The sequence below is a fragment of the Homo sapiens genome, chromosome 5 (genome assembly GCF_000001405.40).
Source record: "Homo sapiens chromosome 5, GRCh38.p14 Primary Assembly".
Classification (NCBI taxonomy): Eukaryota; Metazoa; Chordata; class Mammalia; order Primates; family Hominidae; genus Homo; species Homo sapiens.
The window spans coordinates 106,983,014-107,010,046 of record NC_000005.10 but is presented as its reverse complement, the minus strand read 5'-3'; the positions used below and the strand labels follow the sequence as shown (position 1 = coordinate 107,010,046).

The 27,033-nt window shown below is 36.7% G+C and overlaps 1 long non-coding RNA gene across 1 annotated transcript in view, besides 1 other annotated feature; it reads left to right on the top strand.

The window, feature by feature from the left end:
* Window positions 1-27,033, top strand: part of LINC01950 (long intergenic non-protein coding RNA 1950) — a 195,818-nt gene that overhangs the window by 968 nt on the left and 167,817 nt on the right. The window lies entirely within an intron of this gene.
* Window positions 25,710-26,461: an enhancer, noted in NCBI's record as "OCT4-NANOG-H3K27ac hESC enhancer chr5:106319287-106320038 (GRCh37/hg19 assembly coordinates)". NCBI's record gives its function as "activates a minimal SCP1, AML or CMV promoter by ChIP-STARR-seq in naive and primed H9 embryonic stem cells {active_cell/tissue: H9 hESC(naive and primed)}" and the evidence as "EXISTENCE:reporter gene assay evidence [ECO:0000049][PMID:30033119]".

Here is a 27,033-nt window from a genome sequence, read left to right as displayed (position 1 = left end):
GAGAGAGAGAAAACACTTCTTTTTCTTTGATCCTGTGGAGCTGTTCATATTAAGAGAGTAGACATTCACATTATGGAATTTACCTTTGCTTGTACTAGGATTGGCAAAAACCTTACGTAAATAGGCAGGTTTCCTGAATCTAACCTCTGAATCTTCAGATAAACGACTACTCCATGTCTTACTGCTGTTAAAAAGCAATCAGTCGTTCAGTGCTGTACGGTGTGGCTCAGAGTCCACCAACTGATTTTCTTTCGGGTCTAGAGGTTCCTAGCAGGTTTCCAATGACCTGCAGTAATTATTTGCTGGCCAGTGTGGTGACACAGATATACACACACACACATACATATTATGTTAAACATATATTTAATAATTAAAGCCACACCTTTAGTACTTTAGGTATTATACTAGATACCTTGCATTTATGATCTGATTTAACCCCATAATCTGCAATAAATTCATATTACACTAGGGAAAAAAAATCCAAATTTCATGTCAGACCCTACAAAACCCTATATGATCTGGACCCTGCCTGCCTCAATCAACTAAATTCCTATCACTTTTCTATTTGCAATATCCAGTAGTGGTCCACTTATTCTCTGTGTTTGCTATGTTTCAGGCAATGCTTCACACTTTGTATCTATTGACTCAGGTAATTTGTAATCTTCACACTAGCCTATGAATTAGTACTATCATGAGTCCTGTGTTACACCTGAGAAAATTGAGGCACAGAGAGGTCCTCTAAAGAATAAATTGTGGCCAGGTATGGTGGCTCACGCCTGTAATCCCAGCAGTTTGGTAGGCTGAGGCAGGTGGATCACTTGAGGTCAGGAGTTCAAGACCAGCCTAGCCAACATGGTGAAACCCGGTCTCTACTAAAAAAACAAAAATTAGCTGAGCATGGTGGCACGTGCCTGTAGTCCCAGCTACTTAGGAGGCTGGGGCAGGAGAATCACTTGAACTTGGGAGGCAGAGGTTGCAGTGAGCCAAGATCGTGCCACTGCACTCCAGCCTGGGTGACAGAATGAGACTCCATCTCAAAAAAAAAAAAAAAAAGAAAAAGAAAAAGAAAAAGAAAAAAAATTTGTGAGACCAGGATTCCAATGTGGGCAGATGGGCTTTGAAAAATGAATTCTTAACTGTAACACCATATAACATGGTGTTACTCCTCAGTAGCATTCTTAAAAAATTACAAAAGTAGGTGATCTCAGGGGTCTCTAGGCTTAAAGTGGTAAATGCATGTGAAGCACTTAAGTGCCGCTTGGATGCAGCTGATTGGCATAGAAGTGCTTGTCCTTCCAGTGGCTGAGTGAATGCTGTCATTGAAAAGGAAGGGAGGACATGATTTCCATTTTTTTCCTTCCTGGTTGACCATTCCTCCATTCACAGTCCATTTCATATTTGAACATTAAGATGAATGACTGCCTAAACAACATGTAATAATGTTGGAAGATTTTTTTTCTCTTACCATCCCCCAGATACCTAGTCTCAAATAATTATTACTATAGGTTCATTATTCAATTACTATTCAGGCTGCCTAGTGCTAGATTTATGCAGTAGGCAAGCTGAGTGAACATTTGGAACACTAACAAAGCAAGGCTCTTGTAAGAAAATAAGAAAACCAAAACAAAAATAAATAAAATTTTAAAAATTATTTAGAAATAAGTTAATTTCAAGTGGTACATTAAATAAGTCACCATTGTAGACAAATTCAAACCTTGTTGAACATCCATACACTTATTTATGGGTGTGTGTGTGTGTGTACAAATGCGATACTATAGCTTCTTCAGTGGTTATAGTCTCTAAAACTTTAATCCTTCCTTTGCCTGTAGGCTGCACCTCAATTAGAGAGGTTCAGCGAAGAGCAAATGTAAGAAGGACTCACTGTGAAGAATTAGCACCTGGAAGTTGTGGTCATGTCCCTGATGCAATAAGATTTTGTCAACAAATGTATCTGTTTCAGGATGCCATAAGAGAAGGCGATGTTTGATATTTTATGAAACTCTCCCCAAAGGGAACATTATTATGACCATATATATGACTTACAACTTGCTTCATCACATTCCTCAAATATATTGCTTATATTAACATTGAACTTAGTTAAAATAATATAACAGGAGTGTCTAAATTTAAATGAGTTTAAGATTGTGGTTAGAAAAAATGTATTAAGTTAAAGACATTTGGAAAGTCTTTTCATGAGAGAAAAGCATTTATTAAATTTTCCAAGAACATCTATTTTATACAGAATGGGATGTGATAATAGAATTCATCTACCTTTATTATTAATGAGCTAGACTTGGAACTATGGCTGGTTTGGAGTAATATAGTTTGGGAAGCCAAATAAACCAATATCATTTTCTTCAGTACCTTGTCTGAGAATCCCACTGTCAGGTTCACATTAACGAGGCCATTCCAGAGGCCTAGAATGTTAAAAAATTTCAATATTTTTGCGTATGACCTTGATATATGCTCATTTTATAAAACCCTGCAAAATAGAGAAAAACATCTAGGGTTTTCAAAAAATTAGTCCCCCAACTAGGTAAATTCTGTCCTGTGGTAAATTATTTACACACAGATTATTATTTTACAAAACTTGCCTCATGCATAGTATATGCCCATTTATTTATTTATTGAACATCTTTTCATGACACTAAATATTCTTCTTTATACCATTTTATAGGCTACCGAGTATGCTGTTGAGTGTGCTTCATATTTATTCAGCGTAGCACATATTATTGGACATTTGTTTTCTAAATCTTTTCTATTATAAACATGCTTAAAAAAAGCATTCTTACAAAAAAACCTCTAAAGACCTTCATGTTTATTTCCTAGCAATGAATTAACTAGATAAAAATTACGTACATTTTTAAGGTTTTTGACCCCAACTGCTAAATTATCCACCACAACATGTTGCCATATTCTCTGATATGTTTTATTTTTCTCTTTTTATGTCCACAAAGAACACGGCTTTGGAGAAACGGCACAAAACTTAGGCTGGAATATAAATTAGAGGGAATGTAGAGAAATTAAAGGCTTACTAGTAGCATTGGTCTGCTTAGTATGAGCTGTAATAACAACAAGTATTATCATTCTTCACATAAAGAACTATGCTAAATGATTCACATGTACTGTCCAATTTGATTCTCAAATCAACCTTTTGAGACATAATTATTCCCTTTGTAAGTTTAAGGTATTGAGGCATAGATAGGCTAATTGACTTACCCCATGTCAATCAACAATGCTTTACCAAAATTTGAACTCAGTTATGCTTGATTGGAAAGTATATGCTCTTAACCAATATGCACATTACTCTCTTGGCTATTTTGGATGGACTTGGACAGTGTATACAGGTTTTGGTACTGGGTGCCAATTGGAATGGGAATTGTAAAAGGGGGCAAATGGGACACCAGAGTATTGGGGCCATCAACAACATAGGTTTTTAAAGGGCAGAGCTGATCTCATGTAAGTTAGATTAAATCTTCAAAACCTGAATTCATAATCCATCAGCTAAATTGTTTACTACTTAATTTTGTTGCAATGAGTATTGTGCCCTACATAGAATGTGCAAACTTTAAAGTCAGTAAGAAAATAGCAGGCTGTGTGCTGATGCTGAGTTTGCATCTCTATGTAAAGGGAATATTGTGAAGGCCAAGAAGACACTTAGGCTTGTATATATGTTCTGTAATTCTTCTCTGAAGTGATGATTAGAATGTGTCATTTAACAACAGGAGTGTTGGTTCCAGCTGGTTTGATAGCCACGGATTATCGGCAATGGAAATGGATTCTTATCATAGTTGGTCTCATTATTAAGGCTCGCAAGTCTGTGAGCCTGGGAATGCCTCCGCAGTTTTCTCTATCTTTCTCCACTCCTCTATCCCTATTCTTCTGTCTGCAAATGATACATTAGATTCTTTAGAGAATGGCTTATGCTATTTAGCCTGAATTACAAATCTTGAGTTTGGATATAGTAAAATAAATATCCAGCTGTTAGCACACACCTTTATAAAAGTCCTTTAGATTGAGTGGAAACTTGGCATGTAACAAACCTTTTACCTAAAGAACACATAATGTCTCCTTATCTGCTGCTACTTGATATGCTTTAAAAATATAAACCAGACACAGAAAATGAAAAATTGCATGACTCAAATTGTTTTTGGACACACCACCCACAGAAGATAATCTGTGTTCATTTAGTTTTAAACTTGTTAAATTGTAGCTTGACGTGTAGTATTAGTTTTGAGCATCTGCCAGTCATTAAGTGCCTTAGTGGCCAACATTTTACAAGTCTTTGAAACTAGCCTTTTAGTTCACTAATTATTTGATATCAGTTGATGGCAGCAGCCTTAGAAAGAAAAATATTTGTAACTATGAGAGAGTTTAATATGCACAGTTTATCTCAGTGACTAAAGTTGTGTGTGGACAAAACATGCTTTAAGGCAAATTGGTCTTTCCATGTGTTCTTTGTCCTCTGGTGTTTTCATAAATATGTTGATTTTGGTTGATTCTTTGAAAATGGGTTGTATATATGTTTCACGAAGTTAAAAGATTACCTGCCATGTGACTACCTTAACACTCCCGGCCTCATTTTTCCCTCTAGCAGGGACTGTGTGTCTAGGTTCTCCTATACGGAATATCACCCTTTTCAGGATTAGTAGCCTTTGTTGACCTAAAGGAAGAGAGTTTGTAATGTGCTTGAGGGCTCTAGTCTTTTACATAATGACAGGAGGAGAGCATGTTAGCTCTTATTCAGTGGCTACTCAGTCCAGATAGCCATATGTGATTGGAAGCTTTTCCAGGACCGGCCTTATGAAGAGGATCTCTAGACAGTAAAACTTACAAAAATAAGATGTTTTGTTCTCTTGTTCTCCTCTTAATCTTTATACTTAGTACTATGCCTATATCCACATATATTTGTGGATGAAGAAATTATAATTTATATAAACTGATATAATTATACTGTTATCTTTTTTATTTTTCTAATTAATTATACATGTCCTAGTAGCAGAAAATTCAATTATCCTTATTTTAATGCCTTCCCCTGAACTTCTAATTTGTTTAAGAACTTCAGAAGCATATTTAATTGGGGGAGGGTGGGTAAAATTTTGCTTTTAAAAATCAGTATGATAAGAACAAGAGCAATTAGAGTGCTAGCTTTCTGAAGACATATAGTGTATATAGAGTGGCCCTACAGAATCCTGGGAACAATGGCTTCTCTCGGCTGATGCTCAGGACACAGTGGTGCCTCACTCCGGGGACCAGCACTATACCTCCTTTTGGTGCATATTTTAAGTTCAGCCGTTTCTCCCTCAACAAAACCAGTTCCAGGGTGTCTGGGTCTATATGAATTTCACCGTCAGCCACCCTAATAAGCCATCACATTGCCTAAGGAGCCCAGGTCTCCAAACTCAATTCCCAATGTCCTCTTAATAGATATGGCTTCTTGCATCTTTGGTGCCTTTTCTGCCTGAGAATTCCTATCACTCCATTCTGGTCCACATGCTGGTTTCCTTCCCTTAGGTCTCTGAGATCAGTCCTTCCTCTCCCTGGAGACTTTGGGTTTCTTCTGCAAGTTAAGTCAGTGTCGTCTCTGTGTCTGTCTTGCATATCATTCTTCTCCTCATAATGGAAAGTCTAATATACTCCCAAAAGACACATTTTTGGTACAGTGAAAATGTCTGATAGTTTTAAAGTGCCCATTCAATAAGAAGGCAGTTTAATCTCTCCTTTTACAGTTGCCTTGTTATAGAATGAATAGGACATTTAAGCAGTATCTTGTGGGAAGATGTATTTCTTGGTAAAATTGTACTAAAAGTACAGAATACAATAGCTCTCATATATTATAAAGACATATTTGGGACATGTTCTTTTCTTTAAACCAAGTCTCACCATTTCTTTAATATCTATATCCAATCCCAGTCACCTTCGCTGTGTCTCTGATTCCTTATTAGCACTATTCTCTCTCAGTTACCATTTTTCTCCTTCATAGTCAAGTACCATATTCCCTTTCAGTTGGTCCTGGGCATGAACAATCTCATATTAATAGCTGCCCTCTTTTGCTTATTTCTGCAACTAGACCTTAAATTTCCAAAGGCAGAACCCATGTCCACAACTGGAACCCATGTAGGCAGTTGGCTTTTAAGAACCCAAGGGCAAGGGCTTCCACGTACTTCTTTTCTGCTTATGTTCTTATCACCATTTCCTGCACCTAGGAATAGCAGAATACGTACTAGCTAATAGTAATTATGATATGATAGTGTTCATGCATTTATGCTGGAAGAGAGTATTTGTGAGCAGTATTGTGTTGAAAAGCCTGTGGGAAGATTCATAGAGAGCTTCTCCAGGATTGATAGGGAATTGTGAAAACTTTCATACTGACCTAGGTGCCACCTCTTTCTTTCAAAGACGCAGATGAGAACCTTAGCCCTGTGTATCCTGCTTTCTGAATAGTGCTTATACTTAGTAAGTGGGTGACTGAAAATAGCCATTCTCACATGGGAGTTTGTTCGAAATTAAAAAATTATAAACCTCACCCAGACCTTGTGAATTACTCTCTGAATTTATCAAGATCCCAGGTGTTTCTTAGGCACTCTAAAGTTGGAGAAGCAGGAATCTAAATATCCTCCACACATCCCTTTAATCACTTTGGCCACTTATATATAGTGACTGGTCCCCCTTTCTGCCTGATACTTGGGAATAGATTTGTAAGTGTCTATCTTCAAGAGAAATGCTTTCTTCATGTCTTTGAAACACAGCATGTTCATTTTTCTAAGGATTCATCAGGATAAAAGAAGAAAAATGAAATGTGATATAGCTTAATAATATGAAAAAAATTATGGCTGTGTGTACTGTGTTTCATTCTAGAATTCAATATGTTACTCAAAAGGTCAAAGAATATATCTAATACATTCCCTAATGTTCTGAAGAATGATAATGAAACTGGCCAGAAACCAATTCGAATACTCTCTGGTGCCATTTAATCAAAGAAACTTAGATAAGGTAACACTTTGTGTAATGGGTAGGCAAAACATTTCATATTAAAAATTCGTTATCTGCTCAAACTAACCAAATGTCTTCATTCATGCTTTTTAGCATCAATTTAACTTTTTTCTTTCTATAGTAATATCCCTCAAAAAGGTAAAACGGGGTTTCTTTTAACCTCAACTTAAGAAGAACTAATTTTGAAGTTGTTTTCTAAAGAATCTTCCTCTTGGTATGGCTTACAAAGAAGTAACATTATTCAATCCCATTGAGAAAAATTTCCCCTAAACAAGTTGATATATTATAGAAGATGCTTTCTAATAGAAATCTGAACTTATAATTAAAAAAAGATTATCTTGAAATGGTGTTATCATCCCTACCAATATTTAAACTTCTTACTATGGTGTGAAACCTATGACACCTGTCTTCTGGAATATTGTACTTTAACACAAAATTGTGGTGTATATATAAACTGAAGGATTGTGTCCCTTGAAGTGCTGTCACTTACCCCCTTTGAAAAAAGAACACCACGTAAGAAATTCACTTAGGTGAGTTACTTTTCTAATGTCAGAACATGTAGTTCAAAAACAGTGTTTTAAAAGTAGATCTTAACCCTAAAGGATTCCACTTTATTTTCAGTAGATAAAGTTGAAAATCAATCTGGAACAACAGTTTGTTTGTGATGTGATGTAGACATATCATCATGAAATTTGGACAAATTCCCACTCTTAATGTTCTTAGTGGCCAGATAATTTCATAAGAATACACTGGATGATAGCTATTAATATATCATTATCTGATTTCCCAGTGAAGTGGTAGATTATGAACATGAGTTTTATATGGCTGTCTAAGTAAAGACTTGGGAAGTTGTAATGAAGCCTAACATTGGCTCTGAAATAATAAAATAATTGAGTTCCTTAAAAATTTATTTATTCACTTGTTAATGTGTTCATACTACATGTCTGGCATGAACATACATAGGATGAAAACATGAATGAATAAGTAAGTCATTCTGTAATTCTATAATTAGAATCTATTGGGTCAAATTGTAATACTGCATCTTTTTTTCAAGGTTTTTGTGATAAAACACCCCAAATGGCTTCCTAGGAATATTGTTTCAATGAACTCTCCTACCATCAGAATACCAGGGACCCTTAAACTCTCAGTATTATCAATAGGGAGGTTGTGCAAAATAAAAAAATCCTAACTCGTTACTGCTTGCATTTCAGTTAAGTATTTTAAATTTATTTTCTCTCTTTATATTTCTTTTTTTGCATGCAGCATTTATTCTTGCCCTGTGGCATATTTTGGAGTATTAGCATATATTACTATAATAATTATTTTCATTTGTTATAATTGTTTTTCCCAATTTATTACAACTTTTTTTTACCAATTTTAATTTGTTTATAATTTTAATAACAGAATTGTTAATATTTGTATGTTATGATATGTATGATATTTGATAAAACTTATATCTTAATTTGTTCAACCAATATTTTAGTTTCTTGTTTTCTCACCCTGTAATAAAGATAACTGCAAGCCAGGTATGTGCCACCAGACACAACCTGAATACTGTCCGCTAGGTCAAATCCCTTTTTCCTATCTTTGCCTAAAAGACAGGCAAATATACCCAGCACCAATTCCCAATTGCCAGCGGGCATATTTTCTCACCGTGACTCTGCTGAGCTGAGAGGGCATCTTCCCTTACCCTGCTACCTGACCCTCTGAGCTCATGGACTGGGTGAAGAATGGCTGTTTTGGCCTTTGCCTGCCTCTCCACAGTGTTGTTTGGAAGACACCCTCGGGTGGAGTGAGCATAGCCTTGCATTTTTTGTTATCTATACTTCCTTATTGTTATATTTGGGAATTTTAGTCTGTTAGTAAATATGTATAGGAGACACGGAAAATATTGTTTTTTTTTTTACTACCTTAAAAATATTGTGTATTCTATTGATGGTCATTTGCCATTTTTATGGTTTATTCAGATCTTAGGTTTCTGAGAAAATTTGGAAAAACACTAAAATTCTCTGTGCTTTTCCTAAGGCTAGCAGACATTAGGCAAATTGTCTAATAAATAATATTCACTATAATAGTGGTATGTTTAGTGAAGAAGAAATGTAGGGTATTGTGAGGATTGAATAGAAGGATTGATTCTGAGTTTAACTCTCATAATTGCTCATTGTATTGACTTGTGACCTATAATACAGGTACAATATGCCTTTATGAGCACCTAGAAGTGTAGGCATCCTTATTTCATGTAATTATCATAATGATTTTGATATTGAGAGTTTTGCTGGAATTGGGATTTAAATGTTTGATTCCAATTAACTACTTATTTTTTCTTATTTTACTTGTCCTCATCATTTGTGCAAATCTTGTTATTTCCAAACTATCTTCTAATAATTTGCTCAAATGAAACCAATAAAAAATGAAAGAAATGATAGATAGCCTACTAAAAGAAAGGCCCCCTGGAAAGAGAATATAGAACTTTTAAAACTATTGACTAACATAACCTATATGAATCAATATCTTTAATGATGTAGGAAGATGATTACATAGAAATTTTAGCTGGTATTTAAAGTAGCTAGAATTGCAAGAGCATTATCTCTCATTTCTGTTCACTTTAATCATGTATTCTCATATTTTTGCTATTCTACTCTTTTAAAAATAGTTTTAGGGAAAAGGTGGCTCTGGCCAGGGTGGCTCAGCTTCTTGGGGCTATGTAGCTGAGCTCGTCAGCTTGGGGTTCCTTCTTTGCTGCCCTTGCTGCGTGCTAGCACAGACTTACCCCAGCAAGACAGAACTGTTCACTCCCCTGGAAAAAGGGCTGAAGCCAGGGAGCCAAGTGGTCTTTTTCAGTGGGTTCCACCCCCACAGAGCCCAGCAAACTAAGATCCACTGGCTTGAAATTTTCACTGTGAGCACAGCAGTTTGAAGTCGACCTGGGATGCTCCAGCTTGGTGAGGGGAGGGGCATCCACCATTACTGAGGCTTGAGTAGGCGGTTTTCCCCTCACAGTGTAATCAAAGGCACCATGAAGTGTGGACTGGGTGGAGCCCACCGCAGCTCCACAAAGCCACTGTAGCTAGACTGCCTCTCTAGATTCCTCCTCTCTGGGCAGGCTATCTCTGAAAGGAAGGCAGCAGCCCCATTTAGGGGCTTATAGATAAAACTCCTATCTCCCTGGGACAGAGGACCTGGGGGAAGGGGCAACTGTGGGTGTAACTTCAGCGGACTTTTAAACATTCCTGCCTGCCAGCTCTGAAGAGAGCAGCAGATCTCCCAGCACAGCGCCCGAGCTCTGCTAAGGGACAGACTGCCTCCTTGAGTGGGTCTCTGACCCCCGTGCCGCCTGACTGAGAGACACTTCCCAGCAGGGGTCAACAGACACCTCATACAGGAGAGCTATGGCTGGCATCTGGCAGGTGCCCCTCTGGGATGAAGCTTCCAGAGGAAGGAGCAGGCAGCAATCTTTGCTGTTCTGCAGCCTCCACTGGTGATACCCAGGCAAACAGGGTTTGGAGCAGACGTCCAGCAAACTCCAGCAGACCTGCAGCAGATGGGCCTGACTGTTAGAAGGAAAACTAAGAAACAGAAAGGAATAGCATCAATATCAACTAAAAGGATGTCCATAGAGAAACCCCATCCAAAGGTCACCAACACCAAAGACCAAAGGTAGATAAATGCATGAAGATGAGGAGAAACCAGCACAAAAAGGCTGAAAATTCCAGAAACCAGAATGCCTCTTCTTCTCCAAAGGATCACAACTCCTCACCAGCAATGGAACAAAACTGGATGGAGAATGAGTTTGACGAACTGACAGAAGTAGGCATCAGAAGGTGGGTAATAACAAACTCCTCTGAGCTAAAGGAGGATGTTCTAACCCAATGCAAGGAAGCTAAGAACTTGATTAAAAAAAAAAAATTACAGGAACTGCTAACTAGAATAACCAGTTTAGAGAAGAACATAAATGACCTGATGGAGCTGAAAAACACAGCACGAGAACTTCGTGAAGCATACACAATTATCAATAGCTGATCTGATCAAGCAGAAGAAAGGATGTCAGAGATTGAGGATCAACTTAATGAAACAAAGCAGGAAGACAAGATTAGAGAAAAATGAATGAAAAGGAACAAATATGAGAAATATGAGACTATGTGGAAAGACCAAACTTACAATTGATTGGTGTACCTGAAAGTGACTGGGAGAATGGAACCAAGCTGGAAAACACACTTCAGAATATTATCCAGGAGAACTTCCCTAATCTAGCAAGACAGGCCAACATTCAAATTCAAGAAATACAGAGAACACTACTAAGATACTCCATGAGAAGAGCAACCCCAAGACACATAATTGTCAGATTCAGCAAGGTTGAAATGAAGGAAAAAATGTTAAGGGCAGCCAGAGAGAAAGGTCATGTAACCCACAAATGGCAGCCCATCAGACCAACAGTGGATCTCATGCAGAAACCATACAAGCCAGAAGAGAGTGGGGGCCAATCTTCAACATTCTTAAAGAAAAGAATTTTCAACCCAGAATTTCATATCCAGCCAAACTAAGCTTCATAAGTGAAGGAGAAATAAAATAATTTACAGACAAGCCAATGCTGAGGGATTTTGTCACCACCAGGCCTGCCTTACAAGAGCTCCTGAAGGAAGCACTAAATATGGAAAGGAGAAACTGGTACCAGCCACTGCAAAAGCAAACCATAATGTAAAGACCATTGACACTAAGAAGAAACTGCATCAACTAATGTCCAAAATAACCAAACAGCATCATGATGACAGGATCAGTTTCACACGTAACAATATTAACCTTAAATGTAAATAGGCTAAATGCCCCAGTTAAGAGAAACAAACTGGCAAATTGGATAAAAAGTTAAGATCCATCAGTGTGCTATATTCAGGAGACCCACTAAATGTGCAAAGACACACAAAGTCTCAAAATAAAGGGATGGAGGAATATTTACCAAGCAAATGGAAAGCAAAAAAAAAGCAGGTATTCCAGTCCTAGTCTCTGATAAAACAGACTTGAAACCAACAAAGATCAAAAAAGTTAAAGAAGGTCATTACATAATGGTAAAGGGGTCAACGTAACAAGAAGAGCTAACTATCCTAAATGTATATGCACCCAATACAGGAGCACCCAGATTCATAAAGCAAGTTCTTAGAGACCTACAAAGAGACTTAGACTCCCACACAATAAAAGTGAGAGAGTTTAACACCCCACTGTCAATATTAGGCAGATCAATGAGTTGGAAATTAACAGGGACTTGAACTCAGCTCTGGACCAAGCAGACCTAATACACATCTACAGAACTCTCCACCCCAAATCAACAGAATATACATTCTTCTCAGCCCACATAGCTTTTGTTCTAAAATGGACCACATAATTGGAAGTAAAACACTCCTCAGCAAATGTAAAAGAATGGAAATCAAACAGTCTCTCAGACCACAGTGCAATCAAATTAGAACTCAGGATTAAGAAACTCACTCAAAACCGCACAACTACATGGAAACTGAACAACCTGCTCCTGAATGACTACTGGGTAAATAATGAAATTAAAGCAGAAATAACTACGTTCTTTGAAACCAATGAGAACAAAGACACGATGTACCAGAATCTGTGGGATACAGCTAAAGCAGTGTTTAGAGGGAAATTTATAGCACTACATGCCCACGTGAGAAAGCGGGAAAGATCTAAAATCGACACCCTAACATCACAATTAAAAGAACTAGAGAAGCAAGAGCAAACAAATTCAAAAGCTAGCAGAAGACAAGAAATAACTAAGATCAGAACAGAATTCCAGGAGATAGAGACACAAAATACCCTTCAAAAATCAATGAATCCAGGAGCTGGTTTTTCGAAAAGATTAACAAAATAGGTAGACCACTAGCTAGGCTATTAAAGAAGAAAAGAGAGAAGAATCAAATGATAAAGGGGATATCACCACTGATCCCACAGAAATACAAACTACCATCAGAGAATACTATAAACACCTCTATGCAAATAAACTAGAAAATCTAGAATAAATGGATAAATTCTGGGACATATACATTCTCCCAAGACTAAACCAGGAAGAGGTCAAATTCCTGACTAGACCAATAACAAGTTCTGAAATTGAGGCAGTAATTAATAACCTACCAACCAACACAAAACCCAGATCCAGACGATTCACAGCCAAATTCTACCAGAGGTACAAACAGGAGGTAGTACCATTCCTTCTAAAACTATTTCAAACAATAGAAAAAGAAGGATTCCTCCATAACTCATTTTATGAGGCCAGCATCATCCCAATACCAAAAGCTGGCAAAGACACAACAAAAAATGAAAATTTCAGGCCAATATCCCTGATGAACATCAATGTGAAATCCTCAATAACATACTCACAAACAGAATCCAGCAGCACATCAAAAAACTTATCCACCATGATGAAGTCAGCTTCATCCTGGGATGGAAGCTGATTCAGCATATGCAAATCAATAAACATAATCTGTCACATAAACAGAATCAATGACAAAAACCACATGATTATCTCAGTGGATGCAGAAAAGGTCTTCGGTAAAATTCAGCACCTCTTCATGCTAAAAACTCTCAATAAACTAGGTATTGATGGAACATAGCTCAAAATAATAAGAGATATTTATGACAAACCCACAGCCAATATCATTCTGAATGGGCAAAAGCTGGAAGCATTCTCTTTGAAAACCGGCACAAGACAACGATGCCCTCTCTCACCACTCCTATTCTACATAGTATTGGAAGTTCTGGCAAGGGCAATCAGGCAAGAGAAATAAATAAAACGTATTCAAATAGGAAGAGAGGAAGTCAAATTGTCTCTGTTTGCAGATGATATGATTGTATATTTAGAAAACTCCATTGTCTCAGCCACAAAACTCCTTAAGCTAATAAGCAACTTTAGCAAAGTCTCAGGATACAAAATCAATGTGTAAAAATCGCATGCATTCCTAATACACCAATAATAGACAAACAGAGAGCCAAATCATGAGTGAACTTCCATTCATAATTGCTTCAAAGAGAATAAACTATCTAGGAATACAACTTACAAGGGTTGTAAAAGACCTCTTCAGGGAGAACTACAAAACACTGCTCGAGGAAACAAGAGAAGACACAAATGGAAAAACATTCCATGCTTATGGATAGAAAAAAATCAATATTGTGAAAATGGCCATACTTCCCAAAGTAATTTATAGATTCAATGCTATTCCCATCAAGCTACCATTGACTTTCTTCACAGAATTAGAAACAATTACTTTAAATTTCCTATAGAACCAAAAAAGAGCCTGTATAGCCAAGACAATCCTAAGCAAAAAGAACAAAGCTGGAGGCATCATGCTACCTGACTTCAAACTAGACTACAAGCCTACAGTAACCAAAACAGCATGGTATTGGTACCAAAAGAGATATATAGACCAATGGTACAGAACAGAGGCCTCAGAAATAATGCCACACATCTACAACCATCTGATCTTTGACAAACCTGATAAAAACAAGCAATGAGGAAAGGATTCCTTATTTAATAAATGGTGCTGGGAAAACTGGCTAGCCATATGCAGAAAACTGAAACTGGACCCCTTCCTTACACATTATACAAAAATTAACTCAAGATGGATTAAAGATTAAAGGTAAGACCGAAAACCATAAAAACCCTAGAAGAAAACCTAGGCAATACCATTAATGAGACAGGCATGTGCAAAGACTTCATGACTAAGACACCAAAAGCAAAGGCAACAAAAGCCAAAATTGACAAATGGGATCTAGTTAAACTAAAGAGCTTCTGCATAGCAAAAGAAATTACCATCAGAGTGAACAGGAGAGCTGCAGAATGTGAAAAAATTTTGCAATCTATCCATCTGACAAAGTGCTAATATCCAGAATCTACAAAAAACTTAAACAAGTTTACAAGAAAAAATCAAACAACCCAATCAAAAAGTGGGTGAAGGATATGAACAGACACTTCTCAAAAGAAGACATTTATGCAGCTGACAAACATATGAAAAAAAGCTCATCATCACTGGTCATTAGAGAAATGCAAACCAAACCACAATGAGAGACCATCTCATGCCATTTAGAATGGCGATCATTAAAAAGTCAGGAATCAACAGTTGCTGGAGAGGATGTGGAGAAATAAGAACGCTTTTACACTGTTGGTGGAGTGTAAATTAGTTCAACCATTGTGGAAGACAGTGTGGCAATTCCTCGAGGATCTAGAACCAGAAATACCATTTGACCCAGCAATCCCATTACTGGGTATATGCCCAAAGGATTATAAATCGTTCTACTATAAAGACACATGCTTGTAGCACTATTTACAATAGCAGAGACTTGGAACCAACCCAAATGCCCGTCAATGACAGACTGAATAAAGAAAACGTGGCACATAGCAATACTATGCAGCCATAAAAAAGGATGAGTTCATTTCCTTTGCAGGGACATGGATGAAGCTGCAAACCATCATTCTCAGCAAACTAACACAGAAACAGAAAACCAAACACTGCAAGTTCTCATTCGTAAGTGAGAGTTGAACAATGAGAACACATGGACACAGGGAGGGGAATCTCACACACTGGGGCCTGTTGGGTGGTGGAGGGCAATGGGAGGGATAGCATTAGGACAAATACCTAATGTAGATGACAGGTTGATGGGTGCAGCGAACCACCATGGCACATATATACCCATGTAACAAACCTGCACATTCTGTACAGCTATCCCAGAACTTATAATATATATATATTCTATTATAATTATATATATATATATAAAAGTATTAGTATTTTAGGTATCAAATACTTGTGATTAGTGACTTTTGCTGCCATTTCAGGGTGTAGTGTTAGGCCTGTTTATTTTATATTGCTTTACATCACCAGTTTTGTCTGGTTGTAGTGACCATTTTAAGGACATAATGCTTTATTACTTGAACCTAAGTATAAAATACTACAACATTTTTCATGCTATTATAATAATGTTGTTTCATTAGCCCCAAACGCTATGTTTTAATATAAATAATATGCACTCAGTAAATATTATGAGTGATCAAACATTTTTTTCATTTCTTCTTTTTGCAACTTAAAAGATATTCCAATAAATATAGGCTAAAGTAAGTGCAATAGATATTTAATGTTTCAATTATAGGAAAAAATTGATGCCACACTTTATTATTTGCTGAATTGTAGAATAGATGTGAAAATAGTCATACGGATTCAAAACTAGATTTTGGACCATAAATAAAGCCGGAGAATAAAGTGGCAATGACACAAAACTGTAGGAGGTGTTTAGAAGTTTGCAACAAAAACTGGCATTGGGATTGATCATTTTTAACATTTGTCATTTATTAACGATTCAAAAAGAATCTGTGAATAGCACATTGGGGAACTTTGCAGCCTGTGCTAAACTGGGAGTTTTTGCAAGCAATAGAAACTAAGAAAAATAATTGACCTCTAAAAACATTGTAAATATAGGAAATTTTATTATCACTACAAAGACGTATATGTTGGAAATAATTAAAATACAGCATTTATATTAACAAAATCCTGAAGAATGATCATCAAATTGTTGGGAGACAGTGTTCATGCTGAAGGCTTAGTGGCTTTCATGGTTATCTTATCTCTGTGCTTCTGTTTGCCTTCCTTGCCATCGAGGTAACATGGATGCTTGTCTTAAACTGCCCCCTTCATTATCATCTATTTGCCAACATTTTTTCTTAACAACCAGCTAATCAGAAAAGAGAGAAGACTAGCATGTTAAAACATATTTGTCTTTAGACATCTATAGCATAATGGTTAAGGGTACAAACTCTGGAGCCAGATTGTATGTTTAATTTATGGCTCCACCACTAGTTGTATAATCTTGGCCAGGTTCCTTAATCTCTCTGTGCCTCAGTTTTCTCATATTTACAATGAGTTACTAATAATGTCCATGAGACTATTGTGAAGATATGTGAAGTGCTTGCTGCATAGAAGTGCTATGTGTATTAACTACCAATACTGCTATTATTAATTTCATCACTTTATGTTTGCCTTATGAATAGAGATTGAGCAAATAACATTTGTGAAGTGTTCATGTCTAAAGAGAAATTATGTAACCAATACTGATTTTTCAGGTTTTGAAACTCCTCTTAGTAAGAGGTTCTCTTGGGTACCAAGCCTCCTCAGTGATATTTTAAATTATATGCACATAGGTACCTCTGGTTGAATTAAAATTCATTTTAATATTGTGATTTTTAAACATCTAGCTCTCTTTCTCAATTAGATAAAAACTATTACTGAACTGGGTATTGGGTCATGCTATCAGGATAAGTGTCAGAGAGTTTATATCAAGCTGAGACCTGGCAGAGTGTAATTTAATGTGCCATCAGTCAGGCAGGCAGATGCCCTGACACCATGGATGTTAGGTTGGGTAGATAGGCAGTTTCCTTTCCTGATGAACATTAGAAGGAAAAAAATGACTTGTCCTATTAAGTTATCACTGACCATAATGCAGTATGGTCAATACTAAGTGAAACTGTGGGGTAAAATCAAAGCTAAATAATATAGAATGTGTATATACCTTTATCTGATACAGATGCAATCCATATCAGATAACAGCATAAAAATGATAAAGATGAATGAAATCTAACATTACTTATATAGATCTGAATTTTTATGTTATTATTATAAATAAAACTAAAGCTTCCATGAAGTGAATAAAATAATGCCAATGGAAAGAAACGTGTTTCTTCTCCTCGTGATACTAATGAGAAAAAGCTCCATTCATTCCGCCATCTAGGATCCAAAAGATACCAATAAACTAGTCCAGAGATGTACAACTAAAGTTGATTAAAGAAATAGATGATGGATTTATACACAGGGTGAATATAAACCAAGAATAAAACAAATGTGGCCTGATTATCAAGAACAATTTCCTGACTGTAAGAACAATTTGGTGCTGGGAATCATCTTAAGTAAATTGGGACAGCTCTGGGATATAGTCCAATTAAAAGAATAGGGATTTTCTCTCTCCACCCAAACAGAACACAGATAAAGCAATAATTGAAAATGAGTCCAAGTGAGTCCTCAGGTCTGTCTGTCTCTCTCTCTCTCTCTCTCTCTCTCTTTCTCTCCCCCCCTCACTCCCCCCTTGCCTACCTCCCTCTAGATAAACGGAAGAATAGTAACAAACATTTACCTTACATTTGAAAAAATGAGTGTCCTTTTCCCATTTTTGGCTTATGTTTATTGTAATTTAGCAAACGAAGTTAAAAAAAAAATACAATAGGAGATTAAGTGCCTGGCCCAATGTGTTATGGCAGAAGTTTAGTTTTTATTTATTTTATTCTACAGATGCTACCTCACCCTTCAAAAGTTGGGGATAAATTGATACTTATGTAAATTGCATGAAATTATAGAAATCAGGATAAAAAGAAAAATGTTCAATATTTCATTCAAGCCTATTTTTTTCAAAAATGTTTTCAGAATAGTATCCTTCCTTGCAAATAAATCATTACTTTCTTCTTTTAGTAATACAACTGTCCAATTTTAGCTGGGCTACTCAGCCTTCTTCAGTTGTAGGTACAGCCATATGGTTCTGTTTCTGCCTTCCTTCTACTCCCTTCTTGCTAATTGGAATCAGGTCAAGATGGTGAGGGCAGAAGTAACCATGGGGCACCATGAGTTGGAAACCATATTTTGAAGATGACAGAGCAACAAGACAGAGGGAAGATGATTCCTTGGCACATTTGTGAAGGAGCACTGCGATATTATCTTGCACATTTATTCCACATCAGAGTGAGAAAAAAGCTCTTGTTAATTTGGCATCTCATTTACATTAGCCAAGGTGACATAACATACCTCCTAAAATACGATGAAGTTAGTTGTTTGTTTCCACTGTAAAATGGGGGTAATAATATTACTTACTTAGGGCTGTTGTTAAGACTGGCAACCTAAATAAAAGAGGCTTTCTAAAACAAAATATTTGTTTGAGAATGAGCCTTGCAAAAGGAACATGGTGCAGTAGTAAATTTTGGGTGTATTCAGGGAGGTAAAAGAAGACAAAGGTTTTTAAAAGAAAAATAAGGAGAATTATACAAGTTGTTATTTTTTTTCAAACAATTATCCTTGGCTACAGTGATCAATAGCAAGGGTGTTGTCAGTCCAAGATTGGACAGGCAGTTGTTGGGCAGATGTCCTCCCAGAAATATCTATTTTTGGTAAGGTTGTGGTGACCTTTGTGCAAGTTTGTAGTTTTTGCAGTCTTTAGTGATAGTTCTTATGATCAGGCATTGGTGCATGAGAATTCTCCATTCATGTCCTTCCTTGGCTCCATTTGGTCAAGGTTTGACACAAGTGTCTTTAACTCTGACACCTTTCACAAGATTAATTCCTCAGCATCATCTCCAATACATATCATTCACTTAACAAATGCTGTTATATGTTTAATTTTTAAAATAATAAAAGCTTTTGTATCAGCACCTTCAATCTCTCCCTCTCCGTCTGTCTCTCTCGACTATCTGTGCATTTACTCTGCTAAGTCTTAACTTTGAGTCAGTCTAACAATCTGCTTTCATGACACCCACAATGTGGGAGAAATCATGTCATTATGTAGACTGGGCAACCAGAAATCTATGGCCCACATCCTTAGCTGAGTCTTTGGAGCAGCTGAGCTCTGTGTCAGTATATTTACATATCTCTGAGTCTCCGTTCCATTTCACTTAGGAGTGTTCTAAAGTATGAGCACTGTGCTTAAGCCACTTATATCTGTGCCATGTCTTCCAGCAGTGAGCATTAAATATGTTATAATAAATCCCTTAATTTCCCACCCCCTTTCCCAAACCTAGGTAAATCTGCATTCATTTGAACCTTTTTTCTTCTCATTTCATAAGAAGTGTCCTCCTTTCTGTTTTGATCACTTCCTGATTTTGGCAGGACCTGGCTTCTTCAATGATTCTATTGTTACACTGTATTTTTGTTTTTTTCTCTTGTATGCATCTTTCACATAGAAAAGCCTAAACTCAAATCTTTCTCCACTTGTGAGAGTTCTTGTCTCTTATTTTATTTCCTCCCCTCTACCTGTCACCTTATCTCTCTCCTCTCTGGAATCAAGCTGTCTTTACTTCATTGCTCCCAATTCACTCTTTAATCCCCTGCTCTCTGGTTTCTGCTCTCATATCTCCAATGACACTCTTCTAGCAGAGACACACTAATAGACAAATATAATGATTCTTTTAAGACCTGCAAGCTGCATAAAACTTGAAAAAGTTTTTTAAAATGTCTCTCCTTTTAATAACCAAAGCACCAATTACTTTTTTTTTTTTTGCTTGGATTCCTTTAGATTCATTTCAGAGTCTTTCACCTCTCCCTTCTCTTCTGCTTTTAAAATACTGATATTCCTTTGGTTTCTGTCACTTGTTTGCTTGCTTCTATTCTAATGCCATATGTTGTCTTTTACTGTTATCCACTACGATTCCTTAAACATCATTTTTACCTTCATGCTTCCTTGTGACAGATTGATTTACTGAACACCACTGTAAACCCTATTTAAGAGGCTCTATTTAGAGGCTGGAAAGCTAAAAACAGTGTTACCCAGAGACCACTGCAATCCTTGGCATTTGCTCTAGCTCCTGTGAAACAAATGCACCATGTGAGAGAGTTGTAAGGTAGTTGTGAGATAAATGTTTACATAGATCTTCTGTCAAGCAGAGTTGCTATGCCTTTGATAGAAGCCTTGATATTTGATCCCTAACTTCATGGGTGTCAGAAGGCAAGGCAAAGAGCATCTATTTTGAAGTGATGAATTTGATCAGCATTGGCATGTTTCTAAATCTGATAGGTGTGCTGGTAGCTTTCTGATTCTATTGCTTTCTGATATTAGCAGATATAGCAACTTCATTGGTGGGCCAGGCTTTTGGTGTCATTTGGGTTATTGTCTGTGGAAGTTTAGACTATGGGCTCTCCATGTCTGCACTAATTCTGCAGGTGCCCCATAACTCTTAATAGATTTCTTTCTGCTCTTTCTATTTAGAGTGGATTTTGTGATCTACAACTAAGAACCTTGACCAGTTAAACTCCTGCACCCATGTCTGTAGCTCAGTTGTGCCCTGTCCACTCTATATACCTTAATAATATTGCTGACTACTGGTTAACTCATCCTTCCAGACCTGCAATGGTGGCAAATCCAACAGGCTACAAATAAAACTCATTGTCTTTCCCCTACAAAAATATGTCTATTTATGAATTCCCAAATGCTGTTAAATGACACAAATGTCTACATAATAACCCAAGGTATAAACCTAGGGGACATCTCTCTCTCTTGTCCTACTTCCATCTTGTCACTGCCTAGCTAAATCCATCTCATTAATTGCTTTAATATCCAACTCTCCCCCCATCTTCACCGTTTCTTTAATTCAAGCTCTCATCTTTTTTGGCCTGGATTATTGCCATAACTTTTCAAGTTCCCTTTGTGTTAATTCTTGCTATGTTCCCATCTAACCACCTCCGTTTGGACAGTTCCTAAGACACAAGGAAGATGTTAAACTATTGCTTAACAAACTTCTCACTGTCTGAAAAATAGAGTATAAAATCCCTAGTATGGCAAACATCACCCTCCGTGAGGTGGTCCATTACAGTGCCTCCAGGTGAATCTTTCCCTGCCTCTTGATATTTCAAACCGTATCTATTCTGAATTGCTCACAGCTCCCGGAAAACATGAGGCTCTTTGTGTCTCTGTATTTTTCTCCTTTTGCTTTCCCCCTCTCCATCACCCTATCTGAAGTGGAAAATGAAACTTTAAGGCTTTTTTCACATACTGTCAAGTAAATTTTCCTAAAAGACAGGTATGAAGTTTGTATTCCTTCTAATGTTTGCAGGAAAAAAAAAGTCCTTGGAACAAATAGTTACAAGAATTATATTATTTAGCATTTTGGCAAGTTCGAATGACATTTTCAAGGTTACCTGGCATGGAATAGCAGATATGGGTTCTAAATTCAGATTTTCTTATGAAATCACTGTGCTCATCTTTTTTACCAAAACTGAAATAAAAGACAATGGAGTGGGGGAGGGTAGTGGAAAATTAATATTAGAGAAAGGTAATGGCCTTGTGCTTTGCTGGTACAGTAGAGCTTTCCTAAGAGCCTTTCCAGATAACAAATTGAATAATTTTGACCTTCATCTTTGGGGGCACAATAGGCTCTTAAAGAATTTTAATGGTTACTTCTTTGAAAATCTTCAGAACAGACGATTCCCATTTACTACAAATAGAGACCTGTAGCCAATTCCCAATTGAAATGAAGGAACAACTGCCTAAAGTATGTTTTATCTTCAAATTTACTTATAATACCAGATGATATTTTAATTAAAGGATAGATATACAGATGACTACTATCATATTTTCTTTGGCAGACAAGAAGAAATTAGGAGCGAGATAAGTGAAATGATTTGGTCAAGTTTATAAAGGTGTGGTAGACAGTAAAACTGCTCTTCTTCTAGACATTTGTTTTTTGCCTTGATTTTTTTAAAAAAGAAGTGAAATCAACAACTTCACATCAGCCACTGATCAGGTACCAGATGGCAAAAACTTTCAGTCACTACCACCTAGGGCTATATTCAAACCAATGAAAGGCCTGTATCTCATTATAGGTCCCCTGAGCTCTCCATTCTCCCACATGGTACTGTCCCTTTCAAGTAGAAAAGTGACATTATTTTTAAAACTGCCCTTGTTTCAGATAACCAAAAGATTCTAATAATTTAAACAGGTTTGTCCTTTTAGATTTTTGATTTTGCATGACTTTATTAAGTTTACATTGAATTCCACTGCAACAGAAATTTAGCAAAACAAAACCAAATTAAACTAAACTATATATTAACAACCTAAAATATTCACACTCAAGAATTATAGGTTATTGAATAGGGTTTCCAGGTTTAGCAAATAAAAATACAGAACATCCATTTAAATTTGAATTTCAAGTAAACAATTTTAAATATACATATGGTCCAAATATTTAAAGAAATATTCTATGCTAAAAAGTTATTCTTTGTTTATCTGAAATTCAGTTAACAAGAAATCCTGTATTTTATCTGACAGCCCTATGTATGAAGAATAGATAAATTATTCTGTACAACTGAAAACACAAGGACGTCTAAGTTGCTCATGAAAGTGTGTTACGATGTCCACTAAGCCACTTTATACTCTGTGGGAAGCAATCATGTCCTGTAACCGTTATATAATAATATGAAAGTTTATGAAGAATAAAGGGGAAAAGTAGCTACTGTTTTGGCTTGAAAATGGAATTATATTTTGCTAGCATGATAAAAGAATGTAAAAAAATAAAAGGTATTGTGTGTTTTTGCAGTTCCTCTCATAGAAACCAAGAAATCTTTCAGCAATTTCTTTTCTTTTTTTTTTTTCAAATAAAAAAACATGCTGCTCCAAGTTGGAAAACTGTTACGTAAATATGAAGTTCAGCAATGTTGCCTGCTGAATAACTAACCTGGAATCATGGCATGTATAGCTCCATGATTCTCTTCATCAGCTCTGTGACAAAGTGCAACTTGTGTCATGAGTATGGTTCAATGGTGTCTGCAATTAAATGCTAGAACACAGATGAAAGGAAAATATGAACACTTGCCTGGGTACAGATTTCACGTTTAATTTGTTTCTTTTATCCTGTTTCAAGAGCAGTTGAAAGAAATGTGACATCTAATATTTTACATTTCTAATATGTATGCATATGAACTCAAATCACACAGCCACAGTAACAAGGACATTCATGGTAAATACAAACAGTACTTAGGAATCCCTTTTGAGTGTATGTTCTTATCTTGATCCATAGAGATTTATACATCTAACAACCTTTAACACTGATGAATATAAATCTCAGGCACCGAGAAAAGAGCATAAATCCTTGTAATTCAAGATGTATAAGTATCCCTACCTCTAAGGGTTAGTCTTATGAAAACCAGCAAAAGCAATGAAACGGAGATTTCAGAGAGCTGACATTATGCTCTTAACCCAGGATAATTTAATAAGGATGGTAAAGTTTTTGAATTGTAAACTGTTTTCTGATAATAATTGCAATGTGAGTACGGACTTTACATTATGCTATAGCCATAGTAGGTATTTTAACACAGCTGTTGTTTGAAAAGTAAAGCTACTTTATTGTAGTTTCCACCTTTTTTTGAAGTGTTAAAAAGAATAAATCTATCTTGAATATGCTCCCAGCCGTTTTGTGTTCTGAAAATTCAGGACCTTAGAATATCTTCTGTGATGCGACTTTATTCTCAAAAAAACAAGTACTTGGAGCCATGAAATGTCTTCATGAAAGAAAAATATAATAAAAAAGACATTTTTCAGTGAATTGTGTGATGATATTTTATTATGTGGACATCAACTTACTGATTTCCGAATTCATGTTTTAAGCAATAGTATATCTGATTTTGTGATTTTAAAAATTGGAATTTTTGTCTGTGAATTTGTGATAATACTAAATATTTGTTTTGAAAGAGGTTATTTTGTTTCCAGCTTTCTGGAATTCTTTTGGAATGCATCAGTCTTTTGGGTGGTGGGTCGGGGAAGGGAATGGGGGTAACATAGTTGTTGCTTTGTGTCAGAGAGCTGAAGAACCACCAAAGCTGAATCCTCAGTGACATGTGGCTGTGACTGAGAAGATTCAGTGTGGCAGGAGTTTCATGCACACTTCAAAATAATGGAAAACAGTTATTGGGAAAATGTCATGTACTCACAGCTCGCTCTACATGCAGCTTCTAATCTTATTTGTACAAGTACAGGCAAAAATCTACTAACAACAGATATCGTCTCTTTCCCTTTGTTACCATTTAGTATTGATCGCTGTGAGGGAAGGTTGACACGAATCCCAAAATGGGTTTAATTACAAGTATACACCGAAAAGTAATTGGCAGAATAAGTAAGGGGATAGTTAGCGTGTTTCTTTTTACAGAACCACAATATTATACTAGAGCAGCCATAGTAATCAACAAGGAAGAAATTTAAAAATGTGTATATTAGAGTCCCCAGTCCAATTTAAAATTCATTTCTCCTTTCTTTTAGTCAATTCCTACAAAAGCATTCTAATACCATTTCTATTATCTTGCTATGCATGTCACTGCCCACTCAATAAATGCTGAAATAGAAAATTAAAGTAGGATGAGATATAGAAGAAAGAGAGTGAGTAGTATGGTTTCCCCACTAAATAGCATGAGGAAGCTATTCTAGTGTGATATAAGACATATTATAACCACATATATAAACATTTTTGCATTTTGCCAGCCTTCAGATAGCCCCCAAAATTCAGCTTAGTGATATCTTCTCTACTGATGGTTTTTATATTGTAAATAGAACAAGTTTCAAAAATAAGAATCTGAAATTTCATTTCATAATATGCTTCTTTCCTCATCAGTCGATTATGTTTCCACTATCTCACTTTGTTCTGGGGACACAAATTGGTTTCTCAGGTCATGCTGTTATTAATATGATTTTTTAAAAATAATTGAATTTAACACCAAGGTCAGTTGAGAAAACAGGCAAAATGAAAATGATAATTCTTGGTGTGAAAACCTCAAAAGTGAAATAGAACACAGTAGTGTTCTTTGCTTACTTCAAAATGTCTACAATATGCTGGACTTATTAATGGTATAATAGAACAGAAGTAGGGCTTGCTGAGGCATTTCTGTTCATGAGGTGTGAACGGTTCATTAGAAAGTGTGCTAGGAAGCCAAGAAATACTTCATTGGTTTTATTTAGTTTTGATTTCTTTTAAATGCAGCATTTTATTCCCATTACAGACTTATTTTCTGTAATTAATGTGATATTTATTTGCTATACAATTAATAGTAAGCTTCTGTCTCTTCTCTCTATTGATTACTAAGTTTCCTTCCTTCTCCCTTCTTGGGTTTCCTGTTAGTTATGTGGAAAGTCTTTTTCTGTGAGCTTAACTAGTCTAAAATAATCTAATTGGAGTAAATAAAAGTGATTATTTTCATGCGCGTCCGTGTGAAGAGACCACCAAACAGGCTTTGTGTGAGCAACATGGCTGTTTATTTCACCTGTGTGCAGGCGGGCTGAGTCGGAAAAGAGAGTCAGCGATGGGAGATAAGGGTGGGGCCGTTTTATAGGATTTGGGTAGGTAAAGGAAAATTACGGTCAAAGGGGGTTTGTTCTCTGGGGGGCAGGAGTGGGGGTCGCAAGGTGCTCAGTGGGGGTGCTTTTTGAGCCAGGATGAGCCAGGAAAAGGACTTTCACAAGGTAATGTCATCACTTAAGGCAAGGACTGGCCATTTACACTTCTTTTGTGGTGGAATGTCATCAGTTAAGGTAGGGCAGGGCATATTCACTTCTTTTGTGATTCTTCAGTTACTTCAGGCCATCTGGGCATATAGGTGCAAGTCACAGGGGATGCGATGGCTTGGCTTGGGCTCAGAGGCCTGACATTCCTGCCTTCTTATATTAATAAGAAAAATAAAACAAAATAGCGTTGAAGTGTTGGGGTGGTGAAAATTTTGGGGGGGTGTTATGGAGAGAGAATGGGTGATGTTTCTCAGGGCTGCTTCAAGCGGGATTAGGGGCGGCGTGGGAACCTAGAGTGGGAGAGAATAAGCTGAAGGGAGGTCGTGTGGTAAGGGGTGATATTGTGGGGATGTTAGAAGAAACATTTGTCGTATAGAATGATTGGTGATGGCCTGGATATGGTTTTGGATGAATTGAGAAACTAAATGGAATAACAGAAGGAGAAAAACAAGTATAAAAGGTCTAAGAATTGGGATGACTCAGGATATCTGATTAGAGTGCCTAAGGAGATTCAGCAGTCCTGCCAGCAAAGATTATTTATTTACTTCAAGAGTTAAGGGTGGCAGTTTGGGGATAGCACCAGGAGATATCAGCTGTGATGGCTTGGAAAAACAGTGTAAACCGGCAGTGTAAACAAGAGCAGGGCATGTATGAGTAGTTGAGAACGAACAGGAGTATGACTAAACAGAAGATAGTAGGGATGACAAGTTTTTTGGGGGCACAGTCTAAGTTGGTCTGGTGTCTGGAATGAGACTGGGGCCTAAT